The 13,653-nt window shown below is 38.7% G+C and overlaps 1 protein-coding gene across 11 annotated transcripts in view, besides 1 other annotated feature; it reads left to right on the forward strand.

Moving 5' to 3' along the window:
* Positions 28-1,010: an enhancer, noted in NCBI's record as "H3K27ac hESC enhancer chr10:127408179-127409161 (GRCh37/hg19 assembly coordinates)". NCBI's record gives its function as "activates a minimal SCP1, AML or CMV promoter by ChIP-STARR-seq in primed H9 embryonic stem cells {active_cell/tissue: H9 hESC(primed)}" and the evidence as "EXISTENCE:reporter gene assay evidence [ECO:0000049][PMID:30033119]".
* EDRF1 (erythroid differentiation regulatory factor 1) overlaps positions 127-13,653 on the forward strand; it is a 44,431-nt gene continuing 30,904 nt past the window's right edge. For 6 of the 11 annotated variants that reach the window (NR_110858.2, NR_110857.2, NM_001202438.2 and 3 more), the window contains exons 1-9: positions 127-333; positions 1,622-1,830; positions 3,486-3,552; positions 4,229-4,354; positions 5,736-5,860; positions 6,100-6,256; positions 9,421-9,522; positions 9,776-9,897; positions 10,706-10,817. Coding sequence is in view for 8 of the 11 variants with exons in the window: in NM_001202438.2 (NP_001189367.1) it covers positions 226-333; positions 1,622-1,830; positions 3,486-3,552; positions 4,229-4,354; positions 5,736-5,860; positions 6,100-6,256; positions 9,421-9,522; positions 9,776-9,897; positions 10,706-10,817 (1,128 nt within the window). In the remaining 3 variants the exon portion in view is untranslated. Of the gene's footprint in view, positions 334-1,621; positions 1,831-3,485; positions 3,553-4,228; positions 4,355-5,735; positions 5,861-6,099; positions 6,257-9,420; positions 9,523-9,775; positions 9,898-10,689; positions 10,818-12,282; positions 12,344-13,653 lie in introns of those variants that run through there. The other 5 variants (NM_015608.3, XM_047425037.1, XM_047425040.1 and 2 more) reach the window with 3 other exon arrangements.

Raw genomic sequence — 13,653 nt, forward strand, 5'->3', positions numbered from 1 at the left:
TACAATTCCCGCCCTGGCCGCGAAGGTGGCACCCGCAGCGGGAGGCGGGGCCGGGCCTTCGGGACAAAGATCGCGAGATTTAATGGCGAGTCACAGCTACTTCTTCCTGGCAGAGACCGGAAGTGCGGTCCGCGGAGCGTCTCTGGCGCTTACCCTGCTTTGGGCCTGCGTTGCTGCTGCTGCTCCTCCGCTCCCCCGTCGTATCGCCTGCCCTGGATCGAAGTGATGGGGGATGCCAAGGAGGCCGGAGCCGAGGGTCCGCCGGCCGGGGCCGCCGCTCGAGGAGGGCTCAGCCTCCTGTCCCAGGGAGAATCCGAGGAATCTTCTGCACAGGTGAGTCCTCCGCGGAGGGGGACCTGCCAGGGATGTGGGAGCGGAGGACCCGCTCCACCGGGGAGGGATGCCACGGTTCCCGGCAGATTCTGGAGGCTTCTCCATGTTTCCCTGACACCCCCAAAACAGGGAGTTGAAGTCCATGCTCCAGTCGGCAGGTATTCGTATTAAAAGCAGTTCTGGTAGCCGACAGGTGAATTAGATACGATCTTTCCTCTCAAGGAGGGTACATGTAAATATGTCGTTCCAAAACGTGGCACAGTCGTGCAAAGCAGGAGGGAAGAAACGGTGCCAGGTAGTGACTCGCCGAGAATGAGACCGAACTAATTCACAAAGGGTGTAAAATGTTTGCCATGCAGAAGAGGTACTGCGTGAAAGGTTAGAATATTGAACCCAGACGCCGAACTTGCTTTGGGAGTGTGCAAGTGCAGGCTGTGAGGAACGAACCCCCAATGCCTTTCTATGAAGTTAGAGACTCAAGAGTATTTGAACCATGCATGCATGCATGAACCGATGCATCGATTACTAAATATTTGCATTAAAACAAAAAGCCCAAATGTTCTACCAGACTATTTTATGAATGATGTGTTATTAAAATTAAAATACATCTTTGGCCGGGCGCGGTGGCTCACGCCTGTAATCCTAGCACTTTGGGAGGCCGAGGTGGGTGGATCACCTGAGGTCGGGGAGTTCGAGACCAGCCTGGCCAACATGGCAAAACCCTGTCTCTACTAAAAATACAAAAATTAGCCGGACGTGGTAGTGCACGCCTGTAATTCCAGCTACTAGGGAGGCTGAGGCAGGAGAATGGCGTAAACCCCAGAAGCCGAGGTTGCAGTGAGCCATGATTGCTCCACTGCACCCTAGCCTGGGCGACAAAGCAAGACTGCGTCTCAAAAAAAAAAAAAAAAAGAATTAAAATACATCTTTAATACTGAAAATAGGCTTTACTAAAGTTTGCATCTAGTTAACATGATACCATTGAGTCTCCTTGGTTTCTGCTTCTCCACTTTACATGAATACATTTTAAAAGAGATGTGGGTGGTCCATTTTCTAGCTGATAACCATAACCATCATACTCCTTGACTCATCTTTTTTCTTTGAAGTTGGTGTAAAAGAACTAAGTAAATGTTACCATTTATGCTCAAATTTATTAAGTGCTGTTAGTAACATGTGGCATACGTTCCTTGTGAAGCCTGGTGTGACAGGTTCTTGTTTTCTTTTTATAAAGGTGAGATTTTTCGTTCTTAGTAATTTTCATTAAAGTTTCACCCAATGTGTTAATTAGGGATCAGCTTTATTTCTTGGAGGCAATGAAGTGAAGAGCCGAGCTGTGGTGAAATACTCTTCTGCCCCTCCTCGAACAGCATTTGCACGCCTTGAAGAGAAAACAGACTTGAAACTCCCACCTGCCAACTGGTTACGAGAGAGTGCCAAACTAGGGCCAGCAGGAACTACCATTCTTGGCAACAGCAAGAAAAGCAAGCCATTTTCAAGGTAAATATTAATCAGTGGCATTTTTACCTGCCCCTCCACCCTCACTTAAAACTCTTATTTGCTTTTAAATTCAGTTTGTAATGCCTATTAACTTGTCGAGATTTCTCTTTAGAGAAAGATCACATTTGATTTTCAAAGGCTTTTTATTCTGATAATAGATGATGTTAAAACATGAAGATATACATACAATATCAATTGCATATGCTTCTTTTAAGTCTACGTCATGTTATCAGCAAAGATGAGTTTTGACTGCCAAAGTTCAATCAGCCCTTTCATTTTAGCCAATTTGCATACCTTTTGGATATGTGAATACAAAGGATCAGCTTGGTGCATGAGGAGGAAAACCTTGAACATTCCTTCATCTTTCCTGTGGAGTTTTTCATTAAATGGTGGCAGGTTGATCTGGAAAAGCCAGATTTAAAAACCCAGCATGTTGGGTGACCTACACCTTGACTTTGACACCAGAACTGATGGTGTTCAAAGTTGAGAGAGTAGCCTGAGGTCTTATAGAGAAAAATGTATTAATGTACATACTGTAGGACATTTAATGTGTAGGGTTCTCTTTTCTTCTTCCCCCTTCTCAGCAACTCAATCTAAAATATTTCCATGTAACTTGTAGCAAGAGGCACAAATACACTAATACTTTATGAGCTGGTATTTTGGAAATTATCCTAAAGCCTCAGAAAATAAAAGTTATATTTGCAAAAATGCTGTTTGTTTGTAGCATCATTTATAGGAGCAAAAAGTTGGGAATAACCCAAATATCATTTTTTAAAAGAATGGCTTAATCAGTTGTGATTTGTCAACATAATTAAATGTTGTGAGGAAATTTGAATAATTATATTGACTCTATACAAATGCTGTGGCAAGTATTTATATGCTTATCTCATTTAATTCTCACAACAACTCTTTGAGATAGGCACTGTTAATTATATTGCACCTGAGAAAACGGAAGCTGAGAAGAGCTAAATAATTTGGCTCAAGCATACAGTAAATCACAAAGCATGCTTTGCTGTTAGGTAGTCCTTGGTAAGTGTCCTGACTCTGCCATTTAGTAGTTGGAACATGGTGATGTCGGGTACCTTTCAGGCTTATAGACTATAGATGTGCTTCAGGTGGTACGTGGCATCAGTTGGCTGCTCAATTAACATTTTTTTTTAATTTCCTTTTGTGGCTGAATTGGTGTCAGGTACATTTTTTTCATGTATTTTTTTAAGAGGTATTGTATATCACTAGAAACACAATCTCAGAAAGTAAAATCCTGATAAATGTTTCTGTTTCTGTTTTTCTTATCTCTCCACCTAAAAAGAATAAAGTTTTGAACTATTTTCCCTTGGAGACTTTGAGTTTTGTGATTACAAAAATAAAGAATAATTGTTTTTATTCTAAATATTTCCTACTGGATGCTTCTAATGATTATTACCATGTTTTATCAAATCTAAGATGCCATTGACTTTAAGACACACCATTATTTTAGTACCACTAAGAAAAAAAAACTTGCCAACTGTGATGGTGATACACATCCTGGTTTCAGAGTTGTTAAAATGTGGAAAATGTGTATCCTAGAAGCAATGAGCTACAGTATTGTTATTAAGCTCTACTTGCATGATTATGAGCATGACCTCATAACCTGTGTCCTTTTTTCTCTTTGGTAGCTTTGGCATGGCATATGACTTTATTGATTCAGTGGGAAATGATGTGGATGTTGTCTCTGACTCTGAAGTAAGTGTTATTTGTCGCTTAATGTAATTTTGGAGGTGTTTTGTGATAGGTGTTTTATATCATGCTGTGTTTTGCATAATATAAATGTGCAAGTCTTGAGAAATTAGTGATGAAATAAGATAAAACTTACCTGATTATTGAGTATCTTTTTTGTTGTTAAAGTATCATTGTTTACCACATTTGTATTTAAAGAGGAAGGAATAATCAATCCCCAAACACTGGCAGTGGTAATAATATATTGATGGTTATATTTTAATGATAGTAATTGAAACTGATAATAGTGTTTGGGATTATTCTGTATATGTTACCAGTTGAGTTACAAATGATATTTCTAGTAAAATCTATTGGATCCTTAGTGGCTTTGATCTGATATGCTAAAAGCCTGGGTCAGCATAACAGTGTGACGTATACACCCTTAACTTTAAGAAATCCTATCATGTAAAAATAAATGTTTGACTGTCACTAACATAATGTGACTCATAAAGTGTACGTGATTCTGGTTTGAAAGCTCCGTCCTCTGTGTGTTTGCATGTAGCTTTTTGTTTAAAGTTCTATTTGTATAACCTTAAGGAAATAAGGTTTATTATGCTTTAAAATGAATGAAGCTAAAATTTAAAAGATTCCAAATCACACTAAAACAGTCTTTCTAAACTATTTTTTCTCTTAATTTTTTAAGAACATAAAAAAACTCCTGAAAATTCCCTACAGCAAGTCGCACGTGAGCATGGCAGTACACCGCATAGGAAGGACTCTCTTACTAGATGAGCTAGATATTCAAGAACTCTTTATGAGATCGTCTCAGGTAATGCTTTTGTGAAAAAATCCAACAAAACATTAACAGCTTAAGAGCACTAGAAATACGATTTTGTTTCAGAGAATGGCCAAAGTGGAAATGTAGTTGAGTACTTCAACAATCGAGAAATTGAAAGTTTCACTGAAGATAGAAAAGCTTGAATGAAGAAAAAAGAAGAGAATGAGAATGGTGAAGAAAATTATTTTATTGATTCCAACAGCCAGATTCTTTTTTACAAGAAAAAAGATGAAGCCAATGAAGAAAGTTGTGAAAAAAACTGTGAAATTTAAGGGACTAGTTTAATATTTTTAAGAATCCTTTAACGTCTCCCTTAAACAGATTCTCAGGAAACACAGCTACTGGAAAATGTGAAAAATATTAGAAGCTGTTCCTATGAATAAATACAGTCATGTTCCCATAATGACGTTTCAGTCAGCGATGGACTGCATATACCGGTGGTCCCATAAGATTATAATATACTGTATTTTTACTGTATTTGCAGTGTTCAGATACACAAATACTTCAGTCACATGTACAGATTTGTAGCCTGGGAGCAATAGGCTATACCGTATGACCTAGGTAGGGAGTAGGCTGTACCATCCAGGTTTCTATAAGTAACACTCTGCGATGTTCACACCAGGACAAAATCACCTAATGACGCGCTTCTCAGAATATATCCCCATTGTTAAATGACACATGGCTGTAGTTATTAGAATTAATTGATGCTCTTTAGCCTAGATTCTCAAATTGTATGTTGGTAAGGACTGTTTTTCCCACATGTTGAGAATGGATACTTTTGAAAAACATAATAACATTGTTGCAGTTTCTCAAGAACTACCCTCCATATCTGTACTTTTCTTGGGCTGGCAAGAAATAGTTCATGGTCAGTCTTTAAAGAATATTACTACAGTGCTTTGATAAAGAAAATTAAATTATGGTGAGGTAAATGACATTTAAAATAAGTGCTTTTTTCCTTTGAAAAGACCACCGTTTAGTTCATCATGTGAGTATGAGCCTAGGCACGGGGATGTGACAGTGAACAAATCACAGGCCTTGCTCCTCAGCAGTTCATTGTTTGGGGTTATAAACACATACACAGATCATTTCAATATAGTGTGCAAAGTGGGAACTACTGCAGCTGCTAAGGAACATGTTATAGAGAAGACTCACCTCTCCCAGCCTGGCTTAGGAGGAGGAAGACGGGTTTCCTTTAGGAAACAAAAAACAAAAGAAAGGTGGTATGAATTGACCCAGAAAGATATGTTTTTAATGAGTATGTGTTTATGAAACTATTCAAAAAATAATAGGAGCCTTTTCTGTAAGCTAGTACTAGGTAACATTGTTTCGACTATGTGTGTTGTATTAATAATATGTATCTCATGTTATCCAGACTGGTGACTGGACATGGTTGAAAGAGTTTTATCAAAGACTCATTGATCAGAAGTGGCAGAGGAAGAAAAAGAGCAAAGAGCACTGGTATCAAAAGGCAATTCTTTCCAAGTTTTTATATTACAGGTACTTGGCTACTTATTTATCTCTAAAGAGAAAAAGGGAATTCTGATCTAAAATTTAGTGTGAAGCTTAATGAAGTTATAATTTAAGTTTTGCCCCTGTGATACTGTTAACATTTGTTTCATATTTCTTTTTTACAAGATGTATGCTTAATTACAGATTGTAGTTTTTATAAACGGGTAGACTGTTGCATGAAGTTAACTTTAGTAACAGCAATCCTTTTTTATTTCTGGTTTGGCCAGTATCAATGGTGATGGAGCCGCTCAGCCTGTCTCATCCACCGCAGAACAGCAGGAATCGTCCAGTTCAGATCAGACAAATGATTCGGAAGGGGCTTCATGGCCTGCTCCCTTCGAAATGCCTTCTTCAGTTTCTGAAGATCCCAGTGCTTCCAGTCAGGTTAGTACTTAAATGCTAATTCTAGAAACTCACATAGGAAAACAAAGCCTTTTTTAACATCTCGTTAAAAAAAAAAAAAGATGAACAGGACTAAGAAATATTCTGTCAGCTTATGGAATGGGGGAAAAAAGACTTCTGTCAATTTATGGAATTGGAGAAATACTTTTTAGTTTTTCGCAATAGAATTTACAAGAGCTATTATAGGTGGGGAGATCAGATTTTTTTATTAAATCGAAATATAATAGTTGACTGATATGTTTATTAATACTGATTATCTCCTTCAAGTGATGAGTATTATATAGAGATATAGTATATTTTAATTATAAATACTAGTCATTTTTAACTATAAATACTATTTTAACTATAAATATCTGTCAATATTTGATAGACATTTCCTACCAAATATTGAGACTCAGAGACCCATTTGTAATTTAAGTTCTAACCTTTTTACCATAACTTTCAGTCAGATTGTTAGACCTAAAATATCCCTTTAAGGTTTTCCAGATAAAATTCCTGAAACTTAGTCCACATTCATGTTATAAAAGTTTTAGAAAAGAGAATGAACTAGGTTGTCCATTTTATCTCTTACATCCTTGTTTCTTCCTAATGCTTGTTTATTTTTGTACTTACTGTATCTATCAAAGAATAAAATAAAGCCATAGATGTAAATTGTGACATGTCTATTTTCAGGAAAATAGATTGATAAATAGATAATAAGATCTGTGACTTGATAAGTTACGTCTTCCCTCTTGCTGTTGTGTTCCCACATATTGAGCACTATTCAACCAGATTGTTTCAATCTTCACAAATTACAGGGAGCAGATACATTTAACTCGATTTTAGTTTCAGTAGGTTTAAGATAGAGAAAGCATCCCATAAAACTCCATAATGAATTTAAATTTCTTTCAAAAGTGAGAAAAATGTAAGGAAAAGGAAGTAATTAATATGCAAGTCACATAGTGGTAACAACCAAGAAGTAGGGATGTTCTATGATTCAGAAGGGAGAAAAGACTACATAATACAAATACTACCCTCCTATTACCCATGTCACCCATCTCCCAGTGTTGTTCTGTCTTTACCTTGTTTAGGAATTACTGTGAAAACTCTTGGAGAGTCGGGAATCTGTAGACTTGCGTGTTGAGGAAGCAAGCTGGCATTTACTGAATAGCTCTTATGCCATGTGTATGTTTGTACAAGGTTTTTTTTTTCATTCTTGGAGCTGCGTATTGTACAAATAAGTAAACTAACGCTCATCAAAAGATGTTTCACATGGTCATACAGCTGGCGAAACTCTCAGGCTAGGGCTTAAACCCAGATCTTTCTGCCTGCAGAGGCCTGTTCCTCCAGCAGTACTCCACTGTGTCCGTGTACTCCACACACAGCAAGGCCCTACTAACAGTCAGATCATCGTAGTAGTGGTGTATCCCTAGGCACAGCTAGCCTGCCTTAAGAGTCTCTTACAGAGTACTTTTCTTATATTGCTTAAATTTCAGCTTTAGAGATTTGTTTATATTTGCAAGCTATCTCTGCACAAATTCTTGTTCCAAAAACTAAAACTGCTGGCTTGAGGCCTTTGTTAAGCAGTTATAGAGGTTAAATAGGTGACTGTGGGATGGTCCTAGAGCCAGACATTTATTGAGAACGTTGTAACCTAGAGCTCATACTCTGACTAAAGCAACTGCCTGGCAAACTGTTTTGAGAATCGGTTCATGAGTTGATAACTTGTCTGTGTAAACAAATAATAAAATAAAAAAGAGTTTAAAGTTCTCTTAGGACTCCTGAGGGAGAGGACAAGGCACAATAGAAGTGCTAGAGAGCCACCTGTGCTTATAGTCACACACTCTTCCCAAGCAGGTGCCAAGCCTACTGGCACACACAGATGACAAGTAAGACAGATGTTTGTGGAATAAGCAACACACGCATGCCTGTCTTGGGTTCTGTTGAGGCAATGACATTAAAAGCTTAAAGTAGTATTTCTTAATGGCAGTACTACTTTCCTAATGATTGGAAAATTGAGTGGTAGGCTGAGTTTACCCAGTGTCAAGAGGGCCCAAGTGTATTCCAAAATGCATTCCAGGCTGGGCGCAGTGGCTTATGCCTGTAATCCCAGCACTTTGGGAGGCCGAGGTGGGTGGATCACTTGAGGCCCGGAGTTAGAGACCAGCCTGGCCAACATGGCGAAACCCCATCTCTATTTAAAAAAAGAAAAAAAAATTAGCCGGGCATGGTGGCACGTGCCTGTAATCCCAGCTACTCGGGAGGCTGAGGTAGGAGAATTGCTTGAACCCAGGAGGCGGAGGTTGCAGTGAGCTGAGATCATGTCACTGCACTCTGGCCTGGGCAACTCTGTCTCAAAAAAAAAAAAAAAAGTATTCCAGAGAATATCTTAAGAACAAAAAGTGTTCTGAGATTAAATACATTTGGGAAACATTGGTTTTTACAAAGATAAAGTAGATTTTTCTATTGCAGGATTACTTATTATATATTTATTGTTTTAATATCAATAAATATTGTTACTCCACAAAAGTGAGTACCTGGTAAACGTCATCTTTCAAACCTGACTCTGGAAAATTTTCATTCAGTTTCCCAGGAACTAGTGTTCTGTGAAACACTCATCAGGAAATGCTAAACTGGAGACTGTTAAGATAATGAGTATCTCAAACTGTGGCTGAGTAAGATTTCTTAGGGTTTCTTTTTTTTAAGAGACAGACTCTCATTATGTTGTCCAGGCTGGATTCGAACTCCTGGGCTCAAGCAGTTCTCCCCTGTCGACCTCCCACATAGCTTGGACTACAAGCACATGCCATCGTGCCTGGCCAGTTTCTTAGGAATTTTTAAATTCAATATAGATAGAGTAGGCTGAAAGAGCAGTGGTAATCAGATGCACCAAAAAAGAGAAAAATGAAAAACTTAGAAAGTTTAGAATAATCTTTAATCTATCTCTCTTGAGTAAGATCTAAATGTGATTCGCTTCTTATAGTAGCTATGATCATTAGCCAAAGCAAGCCACCCAATGAGGCGTGTTATTATTTGTATTGGCCTAATAATTCACAATGGTAGATTTGAAGTGTGTGCTTTGAATATTTAGGTGATACTCTCAAAAGTGGGTCAATTTTAAGAAATGTTGACAGCAGAATCACTCCTTATCCTTGCACTTTTCACAGGGAAGTGAGCCTCTTGAACCCTCATACATAGTGGGGCATGTGGCCTCAGCCCCCAAAGAACAAAACCTGATTACTTTATTCAATGACGGGGAGCACAGTCAGGTATGCTTTCCATGGTGTCCAAGGTGACAGCAAATCCCCAGTCTACTTTGTCATTTCAAAACTAGCCTAAGTCGAAATTGATAGGGAAAAACTCCACTTGATCCTGAAACTGCTTTCTAAGCATCTTTGTGATCTTAGCTCTGGGGCCTGACTTTGTCTTCTTTGTCTCTTCCTTTTTCTAGTCTTTTTATGGATCATGGGGGGAAATTACAGATTGACTGTTTATTATAATCCTCCCTATTTTAAATCACAGGGTCTTAAAAATGATTTTGTTCGGAATATTCTATGGACATTTGAAGATATCCATATGTTGGTCGGCTCCAACATGCCCATATTTGGAGGAGGCAGATACCCAGCAGTCAGCTTACGTCTCAGGTGAACTAACATCATACCCCTCCTCAAGCTTATGGTATTTAAATTCTTCCTTTAGAATCAGTGTTCCATCAGACTGAGGTTGCAGTGAGCCAAGATCATGCTACCGCACTCCAGCCTAGGCGAAAGAGCAAGACTCGTCTCAAAAAAGAATCAGTGTTCCATCTATTTGGGCATCTTCCTCTTTCTCTAGGTTTTTTCCCCTCCCTCCTTCCCCTGCCAGTTGAAATGGCCACATTAAGGAAGGAGCTACTGTCAGCAGATGCTGAAAGGCAGGCCTATAGCTGAGTCTTCATTCTAGACCTCATTGAATAGAGCCAGAGGTTTGTTGGACTGGCCTAGTCTTAGGTCTGAATCTACAACTTGTGAGAATATTCAAGAGAGTTTATTTAATTAGTTAGATTCCTACTAACTACTTGTGAGCATTTTTCTTAATGCTCCACGTGTATTTGTTGATATTAGCCAATGTGAATTCCAACTTAAGCATGGTCTTGTATGGTGTTCAGTCTTTCTTCAAGTTGTGTGTGAGGAGCAGGCAGTAGGCTCACCGTCCTTTCCTATTATATTGTCTTCTATTCTTACTGAAAACTTACCAATGTCAGTTAGAAATACAAGCAAGCTTTTGGAAAGATGTTAAATATAGCACAACCACTGAGCTGCATGTGCATATCTTATCAGAAAAGAAAGCATAGATGGCATTTTCTATCTAGAGAGGACAGCTTAAGATACTTAAATGGTGAAATAACTTTCAGATGATTAATTAAGGAACATCTTAATTAAACCAAATAACACTAGAAATGTATATTTTTAGGGATAACAACAAACCAATTAATGTGCTAACTGGAATTGACTATTGGTTGGACAACTTGATATGCAATGTGCCAGAGCTTGTGATGTGTTTTCATGTAAATGGAATTGTACAGGTAAGATACAGTGTGATTTTTCTGATCTCTCAAATGCAAATTGGTACAGAGAGTTCCTCACCAAAGTCTTTACGGCCCTGAAGTACTAAGGTGCATTTTTGCCAGGGAAGATAGCTGTGAATAAACTGAATTTGAGTGTACATTTAAGTTGGTGATAACAGAATTGTAGATGTTATAGAAGTATAATTTTACAGGTAATTTGGAGGAAGTTCATAAATATATGAAAACCTGCATTTGTAGCCATAGAACTCTAATTTTAATGCCAAGCTCTCATTAATAATTAACTGAAAGTGTCTACACAATGGAGGCGTTTCTTCGTTATGCAAATATCTACTCAGTACATGCAAAGTTTTAGGGAAAGGTCTTGTAAAAATTGCATATGGTGGATAGCTTATATAGCAAATTCTTATTGAGCATATTCTGTTTAGAAGACACGTATCCCCATTATAAGTGTTGGGGGAAGCTAGGCGTGTTGGCTTATTCCTGTAATCCCAAGCTACTCAGGAGACTGAGGCAGCAGGATCACTTGAAGCCGAGAGTTCAAGACCAACCTGGGCAACGTAGTGAGACCCTAATTGTAGAAAAACAACGCACACACTTAGTTGGGCATGGTGGTACATGTCTGTAGTCCCAGCTACTTGGGGGCTTGAAGCAGGAGGATCACTTGAGCCCAGGAGTTTGAGGCTGCAGTGAGCTATGATCGTGCCACTGCACTCCAGTATGAGTGACAGAGCAAGACCCTGTCTCAAAAAAATAAAAAAATTGAGAATTTAAACAATAAATAATTGTTGAAGGAAAACAAAGAATAAGCTTGGTTGTTATTCAGAAAGAGATAATCTAATGGGAAATAATATGCAGAGAGAACAGTAGGAGACAGATAAGAATTAGAAGTGTAGCACACAGAAATCTAGATCATCAGAGAAGGGGGTGAGCACTTCCATTCAGGTCTGGAGGAAAGACTTTGTGGAAGAAGGGACATCTTAACTGAGTCCTGAATGATAGCTAGTATCTCAAAAAATAAGAGCTGGATTTTAAAAGTCTAGTGTAAATACATGAAAGGATTGATAATAAATCCAGCTAGGGAACACAGGATTTATGTAGCAGAATAGCTGCAAGTAAGGTTGGAAAAGTCATGGTCAAATGATGGAGATCTTAAATGTTGAGCTAAGGAGTATGGACTTGGTTCAGTTGGTAATCTGGAATCAGAAGGCTTTGCATCTAGGAGGGGAAATTTGTTGTGTTAGAATATTAATTTAGAGATAGCATATAGGACAGAAAAGGAGGACTTAGAGACAAGAAAACCAGAGGCATTGTACCATTTTGCAGATAGTGTAATGTACTTTCCACTAGAGAGGAACTATTAAGAATCAACAATGGTAAGAATAGATAGCATTTATTGAGTGCTTATTTTATCCAAGCACTTTGCTGAATGCTTTAAATGCTTTACCTTATTTGATCTTCTTAGCTACCTCACATGCTGTTATTCCTATTTGATGGAAAGAGAGACTGAGGATCAAGGAGCTCAAGTGAGTTGCCCAGGGTCAACTTAGTAGTGAGTGGCGGTGCCAGTCTTTGTGCCTCTCTCTGGCTGAGGACATGCTTTGAACCGTTATATTCCAACCCAGTGATTCTTAACCTGGTTGTGCATCAGAATCACTTGTGGTCTCTGAAAAAATGCACTTGCTTGGGCCCCCAGTGTTCTAGTATCAGTAGGATGTGTACTTCTGTCTTTTCTGAAAGTCTGCTGTATGATTCTGGTTTGCAGTCTTGATTGAAAACCACTGTTAGACCATCTCCCTAAATGGCAACATTTAGTGAGAGGCTGGGGTGGGAGTGGGGAGCAAGAGAAAAGAGAGAGGCAGATAAAGCGTTAGCAAGGCGGAGGGGAACAGGAGTCAAAGGAGATTCCAGGGTTTAGGGACTAGAATAATGGTGGTGCCATTTAGTGAGATAAGGATGTTGAATTGGTTTAGACAGGGAAGGTAATATGTTTTTGTCACATGTTCAGTTTGAGGAAAGTATAAAAATGTCTAGTGAGCATTTTGAAGTTGCAGCCATTAGAGAAATAAATTGAAGCATCATCTGCCTAGATACTGTCAGATTTCATCACCAGAGGAATCTATTAAAATCAGACATTGGAGCCTCTCCTCATAGGGGTAAAAATAGAAGGGCATTTAGAGAGAGAGAAGGAGAACAAGAATAGCACAGATTAAAATACAGGAAAGGAGCATTTTAAGGAAGGAAATAATCAACATTGGGGACTTCACATGAACAAAGTGGGGTGAAAATCAACCTCAGACGATTGTGTTTGGTCTTACATTCCAGTTGATTTGAAGTTTCCAGTTTTAGAGTACTTCAGAAAATGTGGTAGGAGATGGTTAGGAGAGTGTGCACAGAAGATAAACAAGAAAAATGCAAAGGCACTTTTAAAATAGTGGTAGTAATGTCCATGAAGCCTTTACTCTTATTGCCACCTCCATTCCCCCCTGCTCCATCCCTGTGAAGTAATAAAGTCCATAGATGAAGGGAAGAGAGGTGTCTACTGGAAAATTTCCTAAATGATTCTCTCTCCTTGAGTCACTGACTGTAGTTTCTAGCAAAAAAAAAGGCCAGAAATACATGTGTTTTAAAATCTTGCTGGGTAAAGCCTACCTTCATTTACCATCTTCCCAGTTGAAAACCATTCAAGTGGAATAAAAGTAGTCAGTATGATTTGTTCCATGTTAGAACAGAAATAAGATCATGCCTGAATCTGAGGTTCTAAATCTGGTAGTGATTCTCCATTGAAATTACTCCAATAGTGAACTGCCCTTGCTGATGGGGTGGATGAGATTCC

This window comes from Homo sapiens, chromosome 10, assembly GCF_000001405.40.
Source record: "Homo sapiens chromosome 10, GRCh38.p14 Primary Assembly".
NCBI classification, from domain to species: Eukaryota; Metazoa; Chordata; class Mammalia; order Primates; family Hominidae; genus Homo; species Homo sapiens.